Here is a 25,615-nt window from a genome sequence, read left to right on the forward strand (position 1 = left end):
TTTGAGACCCTCACCATACCACCAAATGAGTGCTATTTACTCCTTCTTTATATGCCAGTAGAACTTTGTTCTTCTATCAAATGAATTTAAATTTTTTTTTTTTTAAGGGACCAGGTCTTGCTCTGTTGCCTAGGCGGGCTGCATGATACTATCATAGCTCACTGCAGTCTTGAACTCCTGAGTTTAAGCAGTACTCTTGCCTCAGCCTCCTGAGTAGCTAGGACTCCAAGCACTCACCACTATGCCTGGCTATTTTTTTTTTTCTTTTAAGATACAAAGTCTTGATGTGTTTCCCTAGGTGGTCTCAACCTCCTGGCCTCAAGTGATGCTTCCCCCTCAGCCTCCTGAGTAGCTGAGATTATTACAGTTGTGAGCCACTATGCCCAGCCTAATTATTACTTTTTAATTTCCTGGTTTTACAGCTAGTCTATAAGCTCTGTGAATTCAGATATTGTCTCATTTTATCTTTAGTACACTGCCAGATAAATGGTAGATGCTCAATAAGTATTTATTAAATGAATGAAATTATGCTATACTTGTATTTTTCTACCAAAAATGTAACTTTATTAAGTGGCCAATCATAAGCACTGTTATTAACTAATATTAACATAATATAAACTAAAATTTAAGGAAATGCAATGTCCTCTAAGGGGCACCTTTCTTCCTAATCTTCAACTGTTCTCTATCATGGCACCCTTTGCCCCTCTCCCTTCCTTGAGGCTAACTGGATAAAATATAACCTCCTACGTCATTGATCATTTCCTTCCACCTGCCTCCAGTATTCTCGGAGTCATAACCTTTTCATGACAGAGTATGGCGCTGATGACAATTTGCTGTTTCCAGCTTGTTAAAAGAGATGAGTGATTTATTTTCTTAGTGCACTGAGTCTTGCATCTCTTTCAGTTATTTTCCTTGTCCTCTTGCCTTCACATCATACCTTTGAACTTCTGAAGTCTCTTTTTACTTCCATGGCCATACATTCCCGTGGTTCCCCTGACTTTTTGGCAACTACACACTCTGCTGCCTTTGCTATGAGCATTTCCAAGATTCAGCCCTTGCCTTTCTGCTCTTCTGTTTTTATACCTTTCTTTAAAAGTCTGTTTTCATAGTTTAGCAATGCCAACAACTTTGAAATCTCTTCATTTCCTCTCATTTGAAATGTATTATCATCTCCACTGTCTGAGACCTTTCCAGTTACATGTTCATTACTTCAGATGCTGCTGTTCAAGAGTAAGCAATATTGTCTACCCTACTTTCTACTTTTTCATGACAGTTCCCTCTACCAATTTGGTTATAACTGACACTCATTTTTCTAGGCATCGTGTAGGTTTGAAACTTTGGACTCATCTCTCTTGCTCTTCTTCCACATCCAGCCATTCTCCCATGGTTTTTCCCTTTCCCTGTTACTACTAAGTATCACATGATGTGTTCCTCCCTAATGCATTCTTTATACTCTCATCCTGACTCTCCCTCTGTTTCCCCAGGTGATCCACAAGAAAAAGTTAGGTACATTTACTTAACCCCTATGTCCCCATCGTGCTTTGTGCACACTCCTTTTTTGTATGTTTTACACTGCATTATGATTTGAGAAAAGCCCAAATGTGAGCTCCTTGAGAGCAAGAAGAGTTTGAAAAATTCCTTTTATGCTAGAAATTTTGCTGGAATTAACATATGAAGTGTAGATTAACTTCTTTATTGAGATGTTTTAAGGATTCAGTAAATTAATATTTGTAAAATCATGCCTATATTGATGTTTAATTAGTGATGGTAGTAGAAAAACTAGTTTTAATGTCTTCATATAACACATAATATTGTTTATATAGTCAATACTTTAAAAATCATGAAAGAAGTAAAATACATATTTTTGAAATCCACTAGCAGTTATGCATTGATTGCTTAATAGTGAAAAATTAGTATATGCCATTTTAGCAGTTTGTGCTGTCTTATGTAAAAATTGCCATAATGGTGATATTAAAAAGATATTTAAATGGGATCATGGCATGTTATAGTGCGAACAAAGTTAACATGTTAATGTGGGAAAAAGAAACCAAAGAAATAGTGAAAGAAGTATGATGTGGAATAAGAGAGATACAGGGTGGCAAAAGCAAAGGCTAAGGGAATAGAAGAGAAGACAGATGTTGGAGTAGCTCTAAGTATGTTCAGAAAGTTAAAAACAACAACAACAAAAACAACAAAAAATCCATTGGAATTGACCTCCTGGAGATCCTTAAGAGTGTTAGTGAAGTGCCAAAGATCCCATCAGTGTTTGTAAAAGGGTAAATAAAGTGATGGAATTTGAGATACAGATTTTCCATATAAGAAACTTGACCATTAGCAGAAAAAAGAGAATGAGGTTAATGGGTTTAGTAAAAGCCTCTGTAAGATAGGGGATACATTGGAGGGGATTATGATCACATAACAGACCAAATTCCAAGGATTTCTTAGAGCTGTGCAGACCGTGCATGATGGGATAGCCATCTGGGGGTCTTTGTTGATAAACTGTTAAAAACGTTTCTAGTGTGAATAGCCACAAACATTTTCAGTGCTTTTTTGTTGGTTGAGTAAACCGAAGAGCACGAATGCAAAAGCAAAATTTGACGCCAAATCACAGAAGTTGCCATAAACACAGAAGTTCCCTAGTGAGGACACTGCCTGTGCCTGAATTTCATTTGTTTCTGCTGCAATCATTTCTTACGTTTTTCCTGGTAACTAGCCAGATTAGAACTGTGAATGAAGACAAACTGGTCTTGCCCAGATGGTAGATGAGATACAGGTAACTTGGGTAGATAGAGAAAATATTTAGGCATTTGATTTGGAATATCTTAGAATTGAAGAGATATGCTTACTCTTTTGTCATGGGGGTTTGCAACCTTAGTATATGCCTAAATCTACAGCTGCTCCTCATTTCCCAGATGGCATCTATGGCTGGGAGTACTTTTTACCATCTGTACTTCTCAAAGAGTTTGTGAACTCTCTCTTTTAATTATTGGGAATGGAAAAACTAATTGGTAAAGTGGGTAAATTATGTAAAAGATTTTTAAAATTTGAATTAGCGCTTTTTATACCTAACTTTTCAAATAAGATCAGTACTTCAAGTCCTTTTTGACCTTCATCTTTCATTGTCTATCTACCATCTTTGTTGTTTGCAATATTCCGCAATACTCCCTAATAACTGTTTTGTACATGGATTGGTATTTTGAGCCAAATTCCAAAATTTTTGCCTCCTTCCAATACTGTAGTAAGTACTGTTGTTGGCATGTACCCAGAACAACTAACACTGAATGGGTATGGAGTACAAACTTATGTGAATTGTTCCATTCATCTAAGTGCTTTTAAGTCAATAAAGTTTAGTGTCACAATTTGTGAAAGTAATTTAGAAAAACATACTCTTAATATGTTTTGTCAATGTTTCCATTTATGTAAAACATTGAATAGTGGGAGAAGCAATTTCCCAGTTAGGAAATACTTTTATAACTGAAAATAATAGAGTGACATCTGACTCTGAAAATGAGCATATTCTCTGTCTAGATTTGGCATGTTATTAACTTTTTCTTCTTTCGGGCTTATGAGTCATAAATGCATTTCCTAATGATGTGTTGTAAATAAGTATCCTTTGATAATCAGTAGATACAATACCTATTCACTATCTTTTCTCTTTAGGCAGGTTCTACTGGGGAAAATTCTCTAGATAGTTTGTCCATTTATAAAATTAGACACTTGCCATCTTTGCTCATTTTCAAGTTCTCTGTTTACAAAACTATTAAGAAGGTGTGAAATGCAGCCAAACTTCCCAGTTTATGGGGAATGTCTGATGATTACATTTCCTACATGTTCATTGTTCGCACATGAAGAAATTTGGCAGCTGTGAGATTATAAAGTTCAGAGTATCCAAATCTAACCCTCACTGGGATTTTGGTTCCCTGCTTTCTGCCACCACCATCTCACCTCCTTTTGTAACTCTTTTTGTGGTAAATGCTGTGTTGGCATTTCTTAAGGTTAGTGATCCTTAAATTTTCTTGTTTTTTTTTCCATTTATCAGATGCTATGAATAAATCATAGATTAAAAGTTCACCTGATACAGAGTCTTGTCTTCAGGCCATAACATACCCAAACTGTTAAGATTTCTTACGTGTGAAATTCTCAATAAAGAGGTTTTATATTGGTGCCATTATTGGGAGAGGAGGGCAGTAGTGGTAGCCAATCTAAATGTTATAATTATTTCAGAATTACTCTGCCAGAAAGTTATGATCATACATAGAAGAGTTTGTAGCTAACTTTGAAAGTAGTGGAAAGTGGTTTTCATGTATTGTTTGGGTTAATTTAATTTTGATTATATTTGGTTTTTAGTTCAGGTAATTTTTTTGTTGAAAACTTCAAATGACAATTTCTTCATGGTTACTAAAGATCACTCATGTGGAGTAGTTTCAGATTTTTTTCTGAATACATGTATTACTTTTAGAGATGTAAAGATGTGAAATTACTAAGAGAGAAACCCATGTGATTTGTTTAGTGGATCAAAAGTCGGTAGCTCCTTTGATCCTAAGTGCCACTGATAGTTAAATAGATACTGAAGCTATGGGCAGGCTGGATTGATAAGAAAAAAGGAGACAGAGAAATGGGAAATTGGGAAAGAACTGTGCAAATAGGAAAAGGAGAGAGCAACAGAACAGAATTAGTACCACAGTGCCGTAAGTGCCACCTCAGGTACTTCCATCTCCCATCTCCTGAAGAATTCAGTAACAGTTTGCAAATGGTCAACACAATCATTTAGTGATCCTGTTTGATATTTTCAATACTTTCTGTGTATTTCTTGTCTGTTTTCAAAATGATGATGCTGATAGTTTTTATTGCCCTGAAGGTTATTCTGAAGTTTAGCATAATTTTATTTGTTCAGTAAATTATTTGAATAAAAGTTGTATGAATGAAAATTCTGGTCATCATTATTTTTGGTGATTATCCTGCAGTGGGAATAGAGGATTTATAATTTTAAACTCTGTCCTTTGTGTTTCATTCACAGGCTGTAGAAGAAGAAGATAAGATGACACCTGAACAGCTGGCAATAAAGAATGTTGGCAAGCAGGTGAGGTGTACTGTTAATAAGTTATGCAGTTGCATAATAACATGTTCTTATAGAGTTAAAACTGTTTTAGGGCCTATATAATTTTTTTCCTGTCCACTCTATGTTTTTCTTCTGTCATGTAAATGTGATACTAATTGTAAAGGTCACTAAATTTATTTGATGTCAGGTTCTCTATAGAGAAGTAAATCACAAATACCTAAGAGATATTATCGTCAGTGAAAATAATTTACTAGGAACAAATTAGGACACTTGTATCCTGAATTAATTTTTTAAGTATTATTTTTACCTACAGATAAATAAGATAATAGAAGGGTAGATTTATTTCATGTGTAACAAGTTTTGTTAATCATGTACTTTATCAATATGTAGGTAATATTCCTGAGAAAGGTTAGAGCCTTATTGGGTTATACTGAGTGAAGAGAAAGGGCTTTAAGTATTTGCTCTTTCACTTTTCTAAGAAGAAATATATATTTTAGTCTCTATTATCTGAGGGTGGGGGAAGACACCAACCAATTAAAGGAATCTACAGATTAATTAGACTGTTTTTTAAAGAATGTTGATTACATTTTTTCCCCATTTCATGGAACATGGTTATCATATTGCTGATGTTGGCAGAATCTTGATATTTCAGATGCAAGACACTAAGCTGTCTTTGCTTTCAGCCATCCTACCATATGCTCTGATCCCATCACATCTCACAAGCTATGTAGGTTTGGGCCAGGACCATTCTTGGATGGGAAATCTCTAAGAATCACCCAGCTGCCACAAGAAGTAATGTAGATAACTGAGGGAAGCGTGTTACCAATTCACTATAAAATGAATTACTCCAACAGAGCAGTAGGGGCAAAGGTCTGACTTTATCATATGTCATAAATGAGAAAATCAAATTTCACTACCTTCTAAGTATTACAGTTTAAAAACAAGTACCCTCAAAAAGCAAAATGAAATACAGTTCATTTTATTTTCTCATCTTATGTGATATCACCCTTGTTATCTTTTCCACTACTTATTTTAATCATAATACTAGATCACCAACTTGGAGCCTTATACTTTATAGAATTCAGTAACTGTTTTTTGAATAAATGCCTTTCCAAGGCCATAGTTTCTTGATACAGATTTAAAGCAGCAAATAAAAGGTCTAAATACAAAATGAAACTGAAAAATATGTAATTGGCAAAGTTTAATAATCATCAGAATCATTTTTAAAAATATAGTTATTACCTCACTGGTTTGGCCTACTGCATGGCAAAAGCAAAACTGTCTGTAATGGAATTAAACCAATATCTTTTTTTCTCCTGCCAGTGTTTCTCAGTGTTTTTCACCTAAAATGCCCTAAGACTTATTTCTGAAATAAAAAATATATTGTAGTCTAGTCACTTAATTATTTGTAACATGTTGTATCTCTGGGTTGTTTAAAAAAAAATAGTGTATTAAAATAAGGGTTAGAAAAGCATGGCCAAGAAATAATTCCAATAATGAACATTTGTTTAAAGTTAGGAGTCTTGGGTATTTTAACAATAATCGTAAGAATATAATCATTTAAATTATAATTTTTCTATTGTGTATAATATATATTCCTTATTTCAAAGCTCTGAAATTTTGCTCAAATACTTAATTCTGCCTAAAACATAAATACATACTAAGCATTTTAATTTAAATTAGTTTATTACAATACAATTTTAAGCCTCCTTTTTAACTCAGTCTATTTCAAAAATAGATTTGATCAGGTTTAAGTTAAAGGATTGCACCTGTATAATTTGCTATGATACATTTTTTTCAAAATAGCTACATGAAACATTCTTAACATTTTAGAATTGATCCAAATTGTATTTAAATTCTTCAACTACAAACGGCAGCTTTTGATCCAAGAATATTTTCTGAATCATTTAAAGCACTACTCTTGAAATATTAAAATTGTACAGAATTCTGATTTTTGCTATTATAAAACATAGAAGAAGTGCTGAGAATTCACACTGAACTCTTACCCTTTGGTATGTCCGCTTTGAATTAAGCATTCTCTCAGACATTCAAGATATATGAACGGTAGAGAATATACACATATATTCAGACAGGTATACATATATAAATGAAATTTTTTAAAAAATCAGATGATTGTGAGCTGTATAGAATTCCTTGTTACTCTTTATAAAAATCTCTGGTACATAGTCATTGCATTGTATAAATCAAGCTTTCATTGTGTAATCTATTATTTTATTAGCTACTTAACTTTTTGATTTAGAAATTCTAAGAATGTAACAATATACTAGTAAAGTTAAATTGTAAAATATTTAAGTAAGGTCTGGCTTTCTTTACTAGTTTCATCAGCTACTGAAAAAAATTTAAGTAATTTATCTACCAGTAATATGGTTCTGTTTTCTCTTTCCTCATTTTTGTTCTTTTAGGACCCCAAACGTCATTTGGAGGAACATGTGGATGTACTTATGACCTCAAATATTGTCCAGTGTTTAGCAGCTATGTTGGATACTGTCGTATTTAAATAAAGCAACGAAAAACGCTATTAATGATGCCTTCAGTGTATATTCCTCTGTTGTTCCTAATGCTCAAAATCAAGGGACCTCTGAAGGTGTACTTGGCTAAATGTAAGACATCTGGCATCATTTGCAGCACTGTAACACCTTCAGTCTCAGTTGTGCAATTACTTCTGTTTCTTTAGTCAGGGTCTTTGCAGATTCTAAAGTTATACATGAATACATCAAAGTGGACAAATTTTGTTAAGATCCCATTTAATATTTGAAAAAATCAGTAGCACAAATATATTTTGATTGTCACTTACAAAATAAAATACATTTACAGTCTATGCCTCCTGAGATCTTTTTGGCAATGGGTGGGATTGATGGAATAACATTTGACAGTGGTCTAGAAATCTCACACAAAGATATGTTTCCGTTTGCATTTTAAGATCTTACAACACATAAAACATCAGTGTGATAAAACTTCACAGATGTATAATGATTTCCATTAATGAGTGGCTACCTAATTAGTGAGTAACTCAGAAAAAATGTTGACATTTTATTAGCATTTGTCATAAGCTAAATATTGTATACTCACTATCTTATAAACATACTTTTAGGATTTTGGAAGAGTACATTTACAAAGAAAAGGGAGCAATTTTAATTTAGACTTTATCATGTTTTAAAAGAGTACATTTCTACCAACAGTTTTGAAACTGGGAATTGGCTGCTGCAAACTCTACTGGACTTTCATCTAAAATAGCCACAGAAAGTATATGTCTAAAAAGCAAAATGAGAAAAGTAGTCATAATGTGAGTTTAATATAAGCTTATAAGCAATAATTTTGCTATTGTTTGGTCTCATCTTTTCTAAATTAGGACTACCCAGTTTTCTAATAGAGAAAAAAAAATGGCTAATACCAACTTCTAATGTGATGTACAAAAGTAACTGCCCCTGTTATTACTTACGGTTCAGAACCATACTGATTATACCATTTGTATGGCAAAAGATACAGAGACAAAGATCTAATTCTAGTCTGCACCCTTGTGAAAATATGGTGAGAGTATTACTGTAGCTTCATTAAAGGAATGTTTTACATGGACTTGCAATTTAACTTAACCTACTAGAACTGTTATGAGTGCTGTGATAGATCAAATTACTGTCCTACTGGAACAAGTCTAGGCTCTTATTGGTTCCCTAGTGAAGTTACCAGAAACTGAAAGTCAAAATGGCTTAAATTCCCAGTATGTTTCACAGTATCTTTTTTGGTGGAGTAAGAAGTATTCTGAGCATTTCTTGCTTGTCCTGTGGTTTACTGTTTCAGATATAGTGACAGTATATTTTATGTAGGACATGTAATATGTATTAATTTAAGTTGTTGGGATTACATTTAACCATTTAAAATTCAAATATAAGTGGAAGTTAGTGAAATTTTCTTTTGCCTAATTCAAACTTGTGTGCAGGCTTTTTGGATATGATTTTTCCCTTTGCAAATAAGATTCTATAACTTATTTCACAGATGTTGTTAATGAGTGCTAGTCAATGATTTTTTGGGGGGTACAGTGCCCTCAGAAGAAGGCCTTAACATTTCAAGAACTATTCTCAATATTTGGGTTGAAAGGGTTTTTTTGTTTTTGTTTTTGTTTTCTACTTAGTCCTCTGAAAATATCCTGAGTCCTGTGACTGGAAAGGCTTACCTTGCCTGTTTTTTTGCCCTTATTTGATCACCCCATCTTCCTGGACTCCCTATAGCCACACACCACTTACTCTCACTTAGTTCATGTTGGTGACATTCCCAGTTTCAGAACCTTGTCAAAATCTTTGCTAGCAAAAACCTACATTACTTTTTGTAGATTTGGAGTCGATCAAAATCAAGATGCCCTAAGAGGCAAGGCTCAGTGAACACCTTTGTCTTGGAATGTACAGCTATTTTCGCAGCAGCCTGATGTCCCAGGCCCAGTTAGGCACTGAAAAGATGCATTTAATCACAAACTTAGTAAGCTGTTTAAGACTGTATATGTATGCGCGCACATGTGCACGCAATTACCCCTCCATCATGCAGAGGTAAAGCAGCTCTGGAAACAAAACTGTTTGTCTCTAGTGCAGAAATGTCCCTGCTTTTCTCTCAGACTAATACGGGGGCACTGAAAGCTCCGGCCTCACTATTCAAAGTGTCATCTGCCTGGACCAATAGCATCTGGGTCTTATGGAAATTCGTTATATATACAGAAAGCAAGCCCCACCCCAGGCCTATTGAATCATAATAAAGAATCCTGGTGTGGTTCATATACACTTTAAGGTTTGAGAAGCCCTGGCCTTCTTTTAGAAGTACGGTTCACAGGCACATGTGGTGATTCTGAGGAAAGCCTTCATTTTCCTTAGTATATATAAATTCAAGGCATACCCTATATGTGAGCAATCACTGAATTTGGTACTGATAATCCAAAGTGGGTCAGAGAGCACATCAATTCAATTCCTTAAAAACTCTGAAGGAGGTGCACTCTTTCCCTTTTCTATCCTTTAACACCTTAACATTTCAATTTAGCATAAAAAAAAAACAGTTTAGGGTGTCGAGAATGGCAAAGCCTCAAAAAGAGCCCAGGTGATGTCTCACCTCTACACATTTAAGGCTCTGTCCCACTGAGAACGGAGGAAAGTACTGTCTTCCGAAGCACCGGAGGGAGAGGCACTCAGGGACAGAGAAGTTGAAGATGGAGAAAGAAGGAAACAAAAGTAGCCAAAAGTAGTCAAGAGGTCAAAAGCCTCTCATGAGGGCAAATGGCAGTAGAAGGTCAAGGGCAGAAAAACAAGTGTCAAATGGCATCCCCTACTCCCCTCCCCCGCACCCCAACGATTCAACAGCTAAGACTGCTTGTTTATGAAGCTTCCTGGCCAGGAGCTGAGGTTTGCTTTCGAAAGGAAAAATGGGTCTGGCTCTCTTTTTATCCCAGAAAATTGTCTCGGCTTTAGTCTGGGACATCTGGTCAACAACCTGCCCTGCCCAGGCCGCCAGCGCAGGGCCTTGCCCGCGGCGCGTTGATGGAGGCCGCAGCTGGTGCCCTCTGCAGCCAAGGCGCTCAGCCCGCCTGGAGGGGCGCAGTCTCGGCTCAGCGCTGACCGCTCGGCCCACCGAGGCGCAGCTCTGAAAATGCACCACAGTGGCGAAGCGGCGAGTCTGGATAACCCGTCTCCGCCCATGCTCAGGACCCACCCAATGTCCCCAGGCGCTGCTCTCACTCCGGGAGCTGCCCCGGCCCGGGTAGGACAGACGCGCTCGCTCGAAGCCAGAGGCTCCCCCGGCTGAGGTGCCCAGGCCGCTCCTCCAGCCCGGGAAGAGCGTGTGCCCCTGGGGTCTGCGCCAGACGCAGCTCACCCCTTGCTCCTTCAGTCTCCCGGGCGGAGCCCGCCCTCGGGCCGGCCAGCTCTCGGGGCCGAGCGGAGCTCTGGGCGGCGCTCCTCCTGCTCATTCCCGCGCGGCTCGGCGTCCGGGAGGAAAGCCGCGGGAGGGCAGGTCAGCGAGCGCCGGGCCGCGGGAGGCAGCTTTGGGCAGATAAAAAGCCTCTGCCGCTCTTGGCCCTCTGGCTCAGGCCGAGGGCTGGGCTCCTCTGTAGAGCCGGTGCTGGGAGACTTCCTCCCTACACCTCGGGGTCTCTTCGGGCCTCGTGCTATTTATTTGTGCCAACATCTTTTTAAATTGGTTTTTTTCTATTCCTCTTTAGATTCTTTTTCCTTTTAAAAATTATTGGCATGGATGCTTTTTCTCCCCTCCAGATTATATAAACATTAAACACACACACGTACACACACACACACGTTTTCAGTAGCGATTACTGTGTTGACACCACTTCCACTCTGTCTCCCCAGATCAGCGCTTCTGACGAGCCCATTTGCACGGGGACTCGGCCCTCTCTTTTCCTGGCGAGGCTTTTGAACCTGTCGCCAAGCCAGTACCTCAGAGAGAAGGAAATGCAGAGGGACGAGAAGGATGCATGGCGCCTGCCCCCAGTTAGATGTTCTTCAGATAATCTGCAACCAAGTGCGCTGATAAAATATTTAATAAAGAGCCGGTAAACATCACTGCAAATACATTAAGGCATTTCAGCCCGACAGCTTATGATTATTTCAAAACTTAAAAAGGAGATCATAGATTGTCACTGTTTCTGTACTCAACCAAGAAACCGAACCTTCCTGAGGTGGGTGGATTGGTGGGTGAGTTGCTGCTTTTCGCCCCCTCTCCTCCCCCCTTCTGCTTGTCGCTGTGGCTCTCAGCAGCAGGGATTTATTTATTTATGTTTGCAGTTTAAAAGGTGGGGGTGGGGGCGCCGAGGACATGTAGGATCTGCTCACAAAGCACCAGCTCAGGTGTTGTGTGCTTTTGTATTAGCTGGAAAAGACAGACTCTGGAACTTTTACAGGGCGAGAAGAGGCCACCGGCTCGCGCTTTGTATACTTTGCACTTGAAATCGTTACATTCAACTGAATATTTGGCTCATTCAGATCCGAAAAGTCTCCTAGCATCGTCGAATTCCCTCCTCCGCCCCTCCGCTCTAAAGGGGGGAAGGGGGGGAAGGTAGGAAATGTTTAGTAAATTCCACATCTTTGAATCTTCCTAAAGCAGTGGTCACAGAGCTTAAAGGTGACACAACAGTGCTCACGTAAACCAACACACATTCCCCACCCCCCAAGCCAACAATAAAATCATCCCCTTCAATTTGCCATGATCGTCGCTACCAGGAGCCAGGTGATTATCCTAATTAATGTCTATCTAATTAAATTACTGTCAGCAGCTAACCAATGGCAGGAGCCGTTTCATCGGCTGCACAAGCAGCAAGATCAAAAGTGAGCCTTTTCTGATTGCTGCATAGTGTCAATTGGCCAATCTCTTCTCCCAGGGAAAAAAAAAAGTAAATCAAACCTTTGAGAAGCATTTGCTGGTTGAAGTGCTTTCTGTCTAGTGAGGGGGTCTGTGGATTTCTAGTTTATGATAAATAGGACTTTAAAAACCAGGGACGGGAGGGCGAGTGTTCAGGTTCTAGAGCTATGCAGCTGGAGCACTGCCTTTCTCCTTCTATCATGCTCTCCAAGAAATTTCTCAATGTGAGCAGCAGCTACCCACATTCAGGCGGATCCGAGCTTGTCTTGCACGATCATCCCATTATCTCGACCACTGACAACCTGGAGAGAAGTTCACCTTTGAAAAAAATTACCAGGGGGATGACGAATCAGTCAGATACAGACAATTTTCCTGACTCCAAGGACTCACCAGGGGACGTCCAGAGAAGTAAACTCTCTCCTGTCTTGGACGGGGTCTCTGAGCTTCGTCACAGTTTCGATGGCTCTGCTGCAGATCGCTACCTCCTCTCTCAGTCCAGCCAGCCACAGTCTGCGGCCACTGCTCCCAGTGCCATGTTCCCGTACCCCGGCCAGCACGGACCGGCGCACCCCGCCTTCTCCATCGGCAGCCCTAGCCGCTACATGGCCCACCACCCGGTCATCACCAACGGAGCCTACAACAGCCTCCTGTCCAACTCCTCGCCGCAGGGATACCCCACGGCCGGCTACCCCTACCCACAGCAGTACGGCCACTCCTACCAAGGAGCTCCGTTCTACCAGTTCTCCTCCACCCAGCCGGGGCTGGTGCCCGGCAAAGCACAGGTGTACCTGTGCAACAGGCCCCTTTGGCTGAAATTTCACCGGCACCAAACGGAGATGATCATCACCAAACAGGGAAGGTAATACTACATTTTTGGCTGCCGCTGCTCTAGGCGCAGCCGGGGACAAGTGCACCTAGGCTGTGACTGCCGCGGCAGCGACGATTTGGGGTCGGGAGCGGAGTGGAAGGCGCCCTAGAGTTGGCTAGTTTTGGAAAGGGGGAAAGTGGAAGGGATAACCGCCAGGGTGATGTTGGTGGGGGGGACCCCGTTCTAGGAACATAGTGGGAGAGCCAGTCAGTGGCCAGAGGAAGGCAAGAAAAAGGAAGAGCCCTGGCCAGCGGCTGGGCGATGGGAGGGACGCATCAACACTGGCATGCACGGACAGGTGGAGACGCAGGTCGCCAACCTCGCTCTCCACCTGGGCAGTGATAACTGCCACCTTCCCACTCCAGCTCACCCGCCGCTCTCCCTGATTTGGGTTGCACTTCTTTTCTTCTCCCACCACCCTTTTTCTAATCCAGCAAATATTCGCCTATTTGCTGCAAGTACAAGTTTTGCTTTGCTAACTGGCGCCCCGCTTCTTGCATTTAATCTTTAACATTTATGTTTCTTTTTTCCTTGTTTTCTCCCCCCACCCCTTAATTTAAATAGGCGCATGTTTCCTTTTTTAAGTTTTAACATTTCTGGTCTCGATCCCACGGCTCATTACAATATTTTTGTGGATGTGATTTTGGCGGATCCCAATCACTGGAGGTTTCAAGGAGGCAAATGGGTTCCTTGCGGCAAAGCGGACACCAATGTGCAAGGCAAGTCCTTCCAATTAACACATTTTCTTGACACTTATTTAGGTGAGAATGATTAATTAAAGCCTTTGTGGACTGGCTCGAGCGACTTTTAAAACGATCGGCCAATGACTTCTAAAAGGAAACGAGGGGGACAGGGGGACAGACTGAGCTGCGAGAAGGGGGAGGATTATGCAAAAGCTATTTTAATCACCCCCAGTTAATAGGAAGAAAGAATGGCCTAAAAAAGCCCCAGTTAATGGGCTTCATGGTGGAGTAAGGTGTGTGTATGTGTGTGTGTGTGTGTGTGTGTGTGTGTGTGTGTCCTACGTGGTGAGGAGCTGGGACTGGGCAGTGCCAGGGGCATATGTAAACAATGTATTTCTTTCTCTAGGAAATCGGGTCTATATGCATCCGGATTCCCCCAACACTGGGGCTCACTGGATGCGCCAAGAAATCTCTTTTGGAAAATTAAAACTTACGAACAACAAAGGAGCTTCAAATAACAATGGGCAGGTCAGTGGCTCAAGCGCTCGTGTTTTCTCTCTCTCTCACCCCTTCCTCCCTGACATCCAGTTCGTCAGTGTAAAGCAGCATATGGAACTGGATACACGTTTCTTTGCTTCATTAAAAAGACTTAAAAATTGTATTTCCACCCTCCAAATTTATATTAAATCTGTAAAGTTGTTCTCATTGGCAACACCTCCGTCGGCCCAATTTTGGAGTGCCCGACCTTCCCAAGTACTAATACTGATTGATTTTGAGAAGAAACCCCACAAGATCTGCAGGTTGTGGAAATCTTTGTTCCTCCTTACAGGAGGACTAGGAGAAGGGCCCTGAGGATCGGGCGGTCGGCTTCCCCCTTTTTTCCGGTGCCCCGGCTTATCTTCGCTCCCAGAGGTGCGAAAGCCGGTCTGCCCCAGCCAGCCAGCCGCCAGCCAGGCGAGTCCCGCGGTCAGTTAGCCTGGAAGGCGGGCTGCAGGCTGCCTCCGCCGGCCCGGGCGCGCAGCCGGGCGCACACAGCCACGCGCACAGCGACCGCGTTAACACGCCACCCGGCGCTCCCCTTTCTTCCCGCCGGACAGATGGTGGTTTTACAGTCCTTGCACAAGTACCAGCCCCGCCTGCATGTGGTGGAAGTGAACGAGGACGGCACGGAGGACACTAGCCAGCCCGGCCGCGTGCAGACGTTCACTTTCCCTGAGACTCAGTTCATCGCCGTCACCGCCTACCAGAACACGGATGTAAGGAGACCTAGGGGCTGGGGGCGAGGCGGGCGGCACAGACATCTCTCCCACCCTCTCACATTCTCCCGCCATGCAAGGCTAGGGTACTAGCAGCGCTAACATCAGCAACAGCTGGCTCCGCTGTGCGTTTTAAGGCTTAGGGCTCGGGGCCTGCCCACGGCACCTTTCCTAAATACCAAGCCGGTGGGAAAAAGCTTTCTATTTGTTTTCGTCGCTGGTCACCCGGGCCACCTTTGAGGTGGCCAGGATTTCTAAAGACTCTTCTTTTGGGAGTTTTAATTTGGGCTTTGAACTAGAACAGATTAAAATCTACTTTAAAAAAAAATTCTCTCTTTCCTTTAGAAAACAAGCAGATTTCCCCGTGCATTTTATTCTTGGCAAGCTTTGGCATCTAAAAAAAAATTTCTCTCTCTCTCTCTTTTTTTCATCTCAGAACTGATGGCTGAAATGAACAAACATCACTGTTCTGGGAGATCAAAAGAACATACACATTCATATATGTGAAAACTACAATAAATCAAATTACTGAGGGCTATGGATTGAGCTTTCTAGCACTTGAACCACTTCTGATTTTTCAAGTTTGCAAAAACAGATTTTAGTGGCTGATTTGACTACTAGGAGTGATAGGGGTTTTTGTGTTTGTTTCTTTTTTTTACTTAAATGATAATATCAGAAATTAAAACATGCTTTTAAATCCAACCTGATTTTAAGATGCAACTTGTGGTTTCTCAGGTTGTGAGTCAGAAGCGACAAACGTTTTAAAATATAAAATACTTAAAATAGTCAACATTTAGTGATGAATTCAAGTTCTCCTTAAAGATTTTTGTCTGAACAAGTGCATTGTGTGTAACAAGCATTTTTAAAATGTGAGTTTGAACAAATTTAGAAAACACAGGAGAGCTAATTGAAAGCAGTTCTTTGGCTATAGGTATCATTAATTTAAACATGTTCCTCATAACTTTCATGATACTTTCTCTTTTTTTCCTTTCCACTCAATCCCTCAAATTTTTCAGTTAGGAAAACCTTGCTATTTAATAAATTGTAGGCCTTAAGCCCCTGTAAAAGTGGCAGATGATATATTCTCAAACACCCAGTCTTCACGTATAAAAGGTGAGATAACATTCATTTTTTTTCTTTGCCAGATTACACAACTGAAAATAGATCACAACCCTTTTGCAAAAGGATTTCGGGATAATTATGACACGTAAGTAACTTTGTATCTTCCTTTTCAAATAGCTGTGGAATTGGGCTTTAGGTCAAAGGTGTATTATTATGTACAAGGATTTTGAAAGCTGGAATGTGTGAAGACAAGGTTGTTTTAGAGGACTTCTTCTTCTTCGTCTTTCTTCTTTCTTCTTCCTCTTCTTTTTTTTTTTTTTTTTTTTTTTGGTTGGCTCCCCTTCTCTCTGGTGACCTTGTGGCTTGGTACTTGCGTGGTTTTTGGTCAGAGGTTTCCTCCACCTAATTTTAACTTTCCTGTGGATTACAAAGTTGTTGGTGGGCCTCTGGGGCTGGCTGGCTGGCTGGGGAGGCTGCCCTGGTTCTCGGGTGCGAGTACTGTATGTGGCGCTGCAGATGCTCAGCTCAGATTGTCTATGTCTGTCTGAAACGGGCAATTCTGCCTAAAAGTGCATGTGGCTCCTCTGGCAGTTGTTAACAGTCTCCTTAGCATATGCGACCTTTATTTACCCATTTCCAAGTTTTGTATAATAGCATTTCCTGTGCAAGTTGGCTACGGACTGAATACAAATGTGCACCCACCACAGGCGAGTTCATGAGCAGAACCGCTGTTATGGTCATTTTAGGCTTTCGGAAAGATTCAGACGGTGTTGCTGTGTATTATTTATAAGCTTCAAAAGAAAAATATTTCCTCTTTGTTTTGTATCTAGGTGTGTTTTAATTAAACATGCTGGTGCCCTTTTCTTTAGGCCTCCCTTACCTCCCTCCTTTCTATCAAAAGGCTGTTCTCTGGGGCCAACAGTAGGTGTAAACTGAATGCTTTCTGGGCTTGTTCTGCAATTCTCACTCAGGGTCCATAGTGCCTAAGAGTTCAGATAGTGTCATAAATCTAAATCTGGATTGTGGGGTTCCCCCACGTTTTCTGACCATAAAAGGAAAGGGTACATACATCTTAATTTCGTGGCTTACATTGAGCGCCTGAGACAGAGCTAAAAAGTTGAAGCTGCCTTTGACTAGCATAGATTAAATGTGTGGAGAAAGAGACAAGTGACTGCCTCTATTCCATCTCCAAGCAGATACCAACCATCCCTCCTGATATTTTCTAATAATTTAAAAGAGAGTCATTGATATTACTGCCTATAACCACCATATATATTCTTCAAAAGTACTCCAAAGGAACCAAGTCTCATCAATATGATTCCCCAGAATAAAAACTTGGCTACTCTATTCCTCACAATCTAAAAAGGTGTGCCCAGCACAGTGGAAAGTATATGGCTCAAGAGACTAGAGATGTTAGAGGAGAGTCCTGTAGATTTTGAGATTTTAATTCTGTTGTGAACATCTGTTCAAAAGCATTTTATTTTGCACAAATCAATTCAGTAATCCCAAGTGGGTGGGACCTGGATAGGCATCTAAACTGTATCTTTTGCGGACTGCTTTTTTCTTTTTAAAATATTGTGGTGATAAACAGAGAAGATATTTGCACCTTGCTAGTTATGTTCCCTTCCTGCCTCCCTCTACTTCTCTTATTTGAAACTGGAATTCAATTTCAGAAGGGAAATTTTGTGCACTAAACAGAACGGACCTGAGCAGCCACAGCAAAACTCTCACATGCCCCTCCTCCTCTGGCTGCCTTCTGTTGGAAAAGCCACTCCTCTTTGATCTTAAATCACTTTAAATCTTTCATAAAAGCTTCTTTATCTATACACACACACACACACACACACACACACAAACCTGAGATTTTTAGGGGACAGAGAAGAGTTGAGTGGTTCATGACACTCTTCCTTTCCCCTTTTACGTTGGTTACTTGGACATGGCTCAATTTTGGAGAAAGAGGGAGAAGTATAAGGGTTCATGGGGTACTAGGAGCTTGCTTGGCCACTCACCAGGGAATCTCCTCCCCAAAGGATTAAGGTCTGACAAGACTGAGGCTCTCCTTCAAAACAGTCTGTTGACTAAAGATTAAAACATTTATGTGTGAGCTAAATAAAAAGGGAGGCATGTGTGCATGTGTATGAGAAAACACTTCTACCAATCTTCATCCAACCCTTGGTTTCCTCTCAATTCTAATGGGATTTTCTAGGCCCAGGGCCTAAAGTTAATCTTTGATTATTTTATCTAAGGTAATTCCCAACAACACAATCACTGTCGCTGGTTGGGCAAGTTATTTAACTTCCTTTTGCCTCAATTTCCTCATCGGTAAAGTGGGATAATAAAAGTTACCTAGCTCACAGTGCCTGGCATATAGTCGAGCTCCGTAAAGGTTAGCTATTATTAGTGGTCCATTGCATGGAGTAGGCTGATAAGTACACTGTAGGTTTGCCCCGAAGTTTCTGCGGGTAACGGACCAAAAGCTAGGAAAAGAAGGTCAGAGTAAAGAACACCTTTTCTCTTAAGAGAATATTTCTGATTGATGACTACTGTTTCAGAGTAGTAATTCTTGTTTGTATTAGTAGAGGTGGGAGTGAAAGTTTCACACAGGGGAAACAATAGACACTAAGTACTTTGGAGGCTTCCAGCAGCAAACCTCGGGTTCCAGAACACGGGTGAAGGCCAGTCTTTCATGATTACTGCGTGCGCGGCTTTTTCCTAGGGGTTTCTGAAACAATCTAGAAAAAGGAGAGATATCACCTGAACAATCAAATGGACACAGGAGGTCTTAAAAGGGTGGAGGAGTGAGTACCTTGCTTAGAAATTTCACTCATAAACTGACCGCAGAGGAAAGGCCCACTGGGCAAAGAGCATCTTACTCCCTAGGTAAATCTGCCTTAATGTGCACACATATGTTGGAGAAGTGGGATGAAAGTCCTTGCTTGTGCCCCTCTCTCAGTACCCCAGTACACTTGACGAGAGAGAGCAAGAGAAGAGGGAAGTCGTTCCCTTGATGGTCTGTATCTTGCTCAGGTCCCTGCATAGACAGATTGGCTCCTCTATAATTCCGTGATTTATTTTGGGAATGATAGAGGTCTGTGGCCTCTTGTATTCTCCAGGAAATCCTGGACTGCAAGTTTGTAGATGGAGGGTGTGGGGGTGGGCGAAAAGTGGAGGTGGCCTTCCCTTCTGCCCCCACCCCCACCCCAAGGGACCTCCGCGCCACCCCTCGGCTCTCTCTCTCTCTCTCCCTACCCCGCAGGATCTACACCGGCTGTGACATGGACCGCCTGACCCCCTCGCCCAACGACTCGCCGCGCTCGCAGATCGTGCCCGGGGCCCGCTACGCCATGGCCGGCTCTTTCCTGCAGGACCAGTTCGTGAGCAACTACGCCAAGGCCCGCTTCCACCCGGGCGCGGGCGCGGGCCCCGGGCCGGGTACGGACCGCAGCGTGCCGCACACCAACGGGCTGCTGTCGCCGCAGCAGGCCGAGGACCCGGGCGCGCCCTCGCCGCAACGCTGGTTTGTGACGCCGGCCAACAACCGGCTGGACTTCGCGGCCTCGGCCTATGACACGGCCACGGACTTCGCGGGCAACGCGGCCACGCTGCTCTCTTACGCGGCGGCGGGCGTGAAGGCGCTGCCGCTGCAGGCTGCAGGCTGCACTGGCCGCCCGCTCGGCTACTACGCCGACCCGTCGGGCTGGGGCGCCCGCAGTCCCCCGCAGTACTGCGGCACCAAGTCGGGCTCGGTGCTGCCCTGCTGGCCCAACAGCGCCGCGGCCGCCGCGCGCATGGCCGGCGCCAATCCCTACCTGGGCGAGGAGGCCGAGGGCCTGGCCGCCGAGCGCTCGCCGCTGCCGCCCGGCGCCGCCGAGGACGCCAAGCCCAAGGACCTGTCCGATTCCAGCTGGATCGAGACGCCCTCCTCGATCAAGTCCATCGACTCCAGCGACTCGGGGATTTACGAGCAGGCCAAGCGGAGGCGGATCTCGCCGGCCGACACGCCCGTGTCCGAGAGTTCGTCCCCGCTCAAGAGCGAGGTGCTGGCCCAGCGGGACTGCGAGAAGAACTGCGCCAAGGACATTAGCGGCTACTATGGCTTCTACTCGCACAGCTAGGCCGCCCCTGCCCGCCCGGCCCCGCCGCGGCCCGGACCCCCAGCCAGCCCCTCACAGCTCTTCCCCAGCTCCGCCTCCCCACACTCCTCCTTGCGCACCCACTCATTTTATTTGACCCTCGATGGCCGTCTGCAGCGAATAAGTGCAGGTCTCCGAGCGTGATTTTAACCTTTTTTGCACAGCAGTCTCTGCAATTAGCTCACCGACCTTCAACTTTGCTGTAAACCTTTTGGTTTTCCTACTTACTCTTCTTCTGTGGAGTTATCCTCCTACAATTCCCCTCCCCCTCGTCTTTCTCTTACCTCCTACTTCTCTTTCTTGTAATGAAACTCTTCACCTTTAGGAGACCTGGGCAGTCCTGTCAGGCAGCAGCGATTCCGACCCGCCAAGTCTCGGCCTCCACATTAACCATAGGATGTTGACTCTAGAACCTGGACCCACCCAGCGCGTCCTTTCTTATCCCCGAGTGGATGGATGGATGGATGGATGGTAGGGATGTTAATAATTTTAGTGGAACAAAGCCTGTGAAATGATTGTACATAGTGTTAATTTATTGTAACGAATGGCTAGTTTTTATTCTCGTCAAGGCACAAAACCAGTTCATGCTTAACCTTTTTTTCCTTTCCTTTCTTTGCTTTTCTTTCTCTCCTCTCATACTTTCTCTTCTCTCTCTTTTAATTTTCTTGTGAGATAATATTCTAAGAGGCTCTAGAAACATGAAATACTCAGTAGTGATGGGTTTCCCACTTCTCCTCAATCCGTTGCATGAAATAATTACTATGTGCCCTAATGCACACAAATAGCTAAGGAGAATCCACCCAAACACCTTTAAAGGATAGGTGTCTGTTCATAGGCAAGTCGATTAAGTGGCATGATGCCTGCAAAGCAAAGTCAACTGGAGTTGTATGTTCCCCCCACCTTCTAAATAGAATAGCTCGACATCAGCAATATTATTTTGCCTTATTTGTTTTTCCCCAAAGTGCCAAATCCATTACTGGTCTGTGCAGGTGCCAAATATGCTGACAAACTGTTTCTGAATATCTTTCAGTACCCCTTCACCTTTATATGCTGTAAATCTTTGTAATGAATACTCTATTAATGATATAGATGACTGAATTGTTGGTAACTATAGTGTAGTCTAGTGAAGATGAATTGTGTGAGTTGTATATTTTACTGCATTTTAGTTTTGAAAATGACTTCCCCACCACCTAGAAACAGCTGAAATTTGACTTCCTTGGGAGAACACTAGCATTAATGCAAGTAAGACTGATTTTCCCCTAAGTCTTGTTATATTTGATAAGGAGCATTAATCCCCCTGGAAATAGATTAGTAGGATTTCTAATGTTGTGTAGCAAACCTATACTTTTTTGTATTTAAAAATTAATGTGAAATATGCATCATACACAATATTCAATCTAGATTCCAGTCCATGGGGGGATTTTTCCTAATAGGAATTCAGGGTCTAAACGTGTGTATATTTTGGCTCTTCTGTAAATCTAATGTTGTGATTTTTATATTTGTTTCGTTTTGTCTGTGAACTGAATAATTTATACAAGAACACACTCCATTGAGAAACGTTTTGTTTTTTGCTCGTTTGTATCGTCTGTGTATAACAAGTAAAATAAACCTGGTAAAAACGCTAACTATGGTGTTTGAAAGCAGTTTACAGTTTGAAAATAATTTAATTATTATAGGTGATGATATTTAAGGGTTAAGGAAGACTAGCCCGTCCCCACTCCAATATGGGCAGCCTGTTTAATGGAAGCCACCTCCCATTCCCCCCTTAAATTTGTTTTATAGTACTTCCAGGAGCTACTTTTTTCTTCTTATTTATAATTATTTAGCTACCTATGAGCCAAGTCTCACTTTTCTGCGCTCATTTTCTTTTTTCAGGAAAACATATGCACTTTTCTCATCATATTTATCTGATTCTCTCTGAAGTTGGAAATAATGCGAACAGGAAAAGGAGGTTCTTTAAATAAGGAGTTAAGAATTTCTTTAAATTTCACAGAGTAAGGCGGGAGGCGTTGGCCAAAAGTAGGGTGTAATTTAAATGCATGTCAAAATAGGATGTTGACCGCAGATTTAGTAAATTCTGGTTGTACATACGAGGCCTTGGAGGTGAGTGGCGAATCTGTAAACGCAGACACAGAACAGCCTACATTTCTTGAGTGGATGGTTTCCGAAGACTGGGCAGGGGTAGGGTGGCGAAAGACACGTAGAACAAACTCGCGAAAGGGTCGTTTTTTAACCACTGAGCTTAAAACTGCTTCTGGGAGGCATCTGGGCTGGGGGTAGGGGCACTGCTCTATCCCTTCTGTAGTGGAATCTTATGCCAGTCCTATCCCTGCCAGATTCACACCTGGGGAACAAATGCAGAAATGCGAAATCCCAACCTGGAGGGCGCTGCGTCTAGTGAAGTCCGCAGAACTCTTTACCTCGTGGAGAAGCGATTTTTGTACTTTTGTCTCCAAAGAGAGGTGATCCAGGCAAGAGGCGGAAAATGGTTCCACATTCTTGCTTAGTCTGGGCCAGCCTCAGGTTACAGGACTAAATTTACCTTTACATAGACATTGTCCTGTGTCCTTTCTGCAGTTTGACAGATGTAAGGAGGCCTCAAATTTCTAATTAAAATGAAAATTCGTGGGAGGATAAAACTAACTTGCCTTCCCTGGACAATTCCGCCACTAGACGGCGTTCCGTGGAGTTTTGTCTGCCACATAAAAAAGCGAGGACTGAATTTCCTTTGTGTTTCTTTCCCCTCCTCACATCTAAGAACTAAGTAAGAGGACAAAAGTACAAGACACGGTGCATGTGTGGCGAGTGAAGTGGAGCAGTGCATTCGTGTCATCACCCACCCGACCCCGGCTGCGCTCCTCCGACCCCGCCGCCTACTCCCGCCGAGGAGGAGGAGCACGTGCGGTCGGTGGGGCGCAGGGCCGGGGAGCCAGGGGGGTGCCGGGGCTCGAGGCCGCGGGGCCGCGGGGGCCGCGCTCTGCTCTCCGCCCAGGCTGGGCCACTGGAGCGCGGGAGCCCTGGAGCCCGGCGCTGCCCGGCGCTACCCGCCGCCCTCGGGACAGTCACCGTGAGCAAAAGAGTCGGTGTCATGTGCGTAAACGAAGCTCTTAGGAGCCGAGGATAGATTTCACAGGAACGTAGTGCCTTGTTCTGAAAGACGCGCTTTGGTTGATATTAGGAAGTATTTTTAAAAAATTGGGGAGGTCGTTTCCCTTGCAGCTCCGCCACCATCTGCTGCGTGGACTGAGTCAGCGTGAGGTAAATTTGCAGCTTCGCGCTCCTCTCGGAGGCATTGTGCTGTCTTGTCCCTTTAAAACATGATCATTTCTCCTCGCTTCCAAGAAGTCTTGGGTGTCTGGTGAAATGACACTGTCAGTGCGTCTGAGAGGCTGAGGCTGTTCAAAGGAAATCAGAGGCTGGATTTGGCAGGCCCTTTGGGAATCAAAGTTCGCGTCTCCTGTTAGAAGAGAGTTGCCTTTTCTCTCCTGAGGGCAGGGGTCAGGGGATAGCCTGAGAGGAACGGCGATTCCTCTCCGTAAACTCAGATTTCCTCAGTTTTTAACAGTGTATTTTCAAAAAGAGGACGAAAGAAGAAGACGAGCGTGCGGCTAGCACTGTATTCTGGCTCGTGTCTTCCCGCCACTCGCAATCCGCGCCATCTTAACTAACTTTCAATGTCCCTCGGGGCTGAGCGTGCCGGCGGCGGGTGCTGCTCGGGCTGGGAGATGCTGCGGCCTGGGTTCTCAACCTTCCGGGTGGACGCCGCCCGTCGGGGTAGACAGAGGCGGGAACAAAGCGCGTTGCGGCGGCGGGAGGCAGGCCGGTCTTGCCCCCACAGGCTAGGCTGCAGCTTGGCCCTGGTGCACCCGAGCCCAGAGCAGCGGGGACGGGCGTCCGGGAGCTCGCCCGGGTGCGGGGTCGCTCCTGAGGCCTGGGCCGGGGCTCTACTGCTTTGCCGTCGGGCGGGCGGCGGCGCCCGGGGCTGTCACAGTTGGGGATCCAGGTCAGAGGTCCAGGCCGAGAAGCAGGCTGTGGGGCGAGACTAGAAGGAAGTCCAGGCCCAATTCAGGCCGCAGGTCCCAGCTGGGGTCCAGGCAGTTCTGAGTACCCCCGACCCCAGCATCAGTTGAAAAGGGCCGCGGCCTGGGCTCTGGCCTAAGCGCGCAGCCTCTGTCCGCTGCTCTTTCAGAGCCAGGCCCGGCAGCCGAATAGGATTTAGGACGTGGAATCCTGTTTCGGACTAGCAGAAACTTACTGAACAGTTTGTTTCAAAAATCAGGTTGTTTCTGTCTTTTTAGGACCGACTTACATCACTGGAGCTTTTAAATTGTAGTAATTTAGGGTCTATAGATAACTTTCTGAACCTCTTATCCCCCGCAGTTAACATTTTCATATAAATCTCACTGCTACAACTCTTTGTGACCCACCTTTTTTTGGGGTGTTATTGAGTATTTATATTTTTAGCGCTGAAGCTTTAAAGGATGCTCTACTTTCTGCTTAAGATGCAGGTTTGGAACAAAAGCTTCGTTGAACAGAGGCCGTTTATATTCCCAGAGTTTAAAATGCTTCATAGGTATTTGGACAACGTATGTGTTCACAAGTGATTTTTATAAGATGTTCAGCCTGTCCTATCTGGTGCAGCACCTTTTGTGTGTGTATTTGAGTTACTTTATCATATAGGCATTTTGGCCATGAGACGGGGGAAAAAACATAGAACCCATGTTCTTGCTGAAAACAAACCTGTGTAGATTCCCGTGAAAGAAACAGCAACAATTATCATTTTTAGACAAATGTACTTATGAAGTAGTCAGCAACTTTAAAGATAGTGATCAATTTTAAACATATTTAATTTACCCTGGTATGTTGGTGATTGCTTGGCTAATTTTGACATTTAAAAGAGTAATATTTTAGCCTAATATCAGTAAAATCAGTTTTTTAAAAAGTAACTGATACTTTTTAAGGAAGTTGAATTATGTGATTTATTGAAGTTACAGTCTGAGTGCAACAAGATTTACTTTTGGACAGTCGGGTTTTCTTTTACCAGAACAAAATAAGAGTCTCTCAGAGAAGACTAGATAAAATTTTAGGCATTGCGTTATACTTGGTTTAATTCAGTTGCTCTGAGATTTGTGTGTTTTCCTGGTTCCCATCCTCAGTTTGTGTGTTAGGCTGCCACACATTAAAAAATA

General features: G+C 43.0%; 2 protein-coding genes and 1 pseudogene across 2 annotated transcripts in view, besides 6 other annotated features; all 3 read left to right on the plus strand.

The window, feature by feature from the left end:
* Positions 1-7,898, plus strand: part of PSMD14 (proteasome 26S subunit, non-ATPase 14) — a 103,293-nt gene extending 95,395 nt beyond the window's left edge. The window contains exons 11-12 of the mRNA NM_005805.6: positions 5,018-5,080; positions 7,483-7,898. Coding sequence (NP_005796.1) covers positions 5,018-5,080; positions 7,483-7,581 — 162 coding nt within the window. The 3' untranslated portion in view covers positions 7,582-7,898. The remainder of the gene's footprint in view (positions 1-5,017; positions 5,081-7,482) is intronic.
* Positions 5,735-5,851, plus strand: RNA5SP108 (RNA, 5S ribosomal pseudogene 108; annotated as a pseudogene).
* Positions 10,693-10,842: an enhancer, noted in NCBI's record as "active region_16713". NCBI's record gives its function as "activates an Ori minimal core promoter by ATAC-STARR-seq in GM12878 lymphoblastoid cells {active_cell/tissue: GM12878}" and the evidence as "EXISTENCE:reporter gene assay evidence [ECO:0000049][PMID:35858748]".
* Positions 10,893-11,062: a silencer, noted in NCBI's record as "silent region_12058". NCBI's record gives its function as "represses an Ori minimal core promoter by ATAC-STARR-seq in GM12878 lymphoblastoid cells {active_cell/tissue: GM12878}" and the evidence as "EXISTENCE:reporter gene assay evidence [ECO:0000049][PMID:35858748]".
* Positions 11,133-11,182: a silencer, noted in NCBI's record as "silent region_12059". NCBI's record gives its function as "represses an Ori minimal core promoter by ATAC-STARR-seq in GM12878 lymphoblastoid cells {active_cell/tissue: GM12878}" and the evidence as "EXISTENCE:reporter gene assay evidence [ECO:0000049][PMID:35858748]".
* TBR1 (T-box brain transcription factor 1) lies at positions 12,478-22,051 on the plus strand. The gene is made up of 6 exons (NM_006593.4): positions 12,478-13,283; positions 13,857-14,011; positions 14,382-14,503; positions 15,073-15,231; positions 16,377-16,438; positions 19,550-22,051. Exons 1-6 carry the CDS (start codon positions 12,592-12,594, stop codon positions 20,406-20,408), a joined length of 2,049 nt encoding a protein of 682 aa, NP_006584.1. The 5' UTR covers positions 12,478-12,591; the 3' UTR covers positions 20,409-22,051.
* Positions 12,604-13,226: an enhancer, noted in NCBI's record as "H3K4me1 hESC enhancer chr2:162272934-162273556 (GRCh37/hg19 assembly coordinates)". NCBI's record gives its function as "activates a minimal SCP1, AML or CMV promoter by ChIP-STARR-seq in primed H9 embryonic stem cells {active_cell/tissue: H9 hESC(primed)}" and the evidence as "EXISTENCE:reporter gene assay evidence [ECO:0000049][PMID:30033119]".
* Positions 18,886-19,407: an enhancer, noted in NCBI's record as "NANOG hESC enhancer chr2:162279216-162279737 (GRCh37/hg19 assembly coordinates)". NCBI's record gives its function as "activates a minimal SCP1, AML or CMV promoter by ChIP-STARR-seq in naive H9 embryonic stem cells {active_cell/tissue: H9 hESC(naive)}" and the evidence as "EXISTENCE:reporter gene assay evidence [ECO:0000049][PMID:30033119]".
* Positions 19,876-19,985: a silencer, noted in NCBI's record as "silent region_12060". NCBI's record gives its function as "represses an Ori minimal core promoter by ATAC-STARR-seq in GM12878 lymphoblastoid cells {active_cell/tissue: GM12878}" and the evidence as "EXISTENCE:reporter gene assay evidence [ECO:0000049][PMID:35858748]".

This window comes from Homo sapiens, chromosome 2 (genome assembly GCF_000001405.40).
Source record: "Homo sapiens chromosome 2, GRCh38.p14 Primary Assembly".
NCBI classification, from domain to species: domain Eukaryota; kingdom Metazoa; phylum Chordata; class Mammalia; order Primates; family Hominidae; genus Homo; species Homo sapiens.

What these genes read in the sequence shown, in the direction of transcription:
- TBR1 (NM_006593.4), top strand. Translation starts at nt 12,592, where the DNA reads ATGCAGCTGGAGCACTGCCTTTCTCCTTCTATCATGCTCTCCAAGAAA. An exon ending in CCGCCTACCAGAACACGGAT is followed by an intron (nt 15,232 to 16,376) that starts GTAAGGAGACCT and finishes TTTCTTTGCCAG; the next exon opens with ATTACACAACTGAAAATAGA. An exon ending in TTTCGGGATAATTATGACAC is followed by an intron (nt 16,439 to 19,549) that starts GTAAGTAACTTT and finishes CCTACCCCGCAG; the next exon opens with GATCTACACCGGCTGTGACA.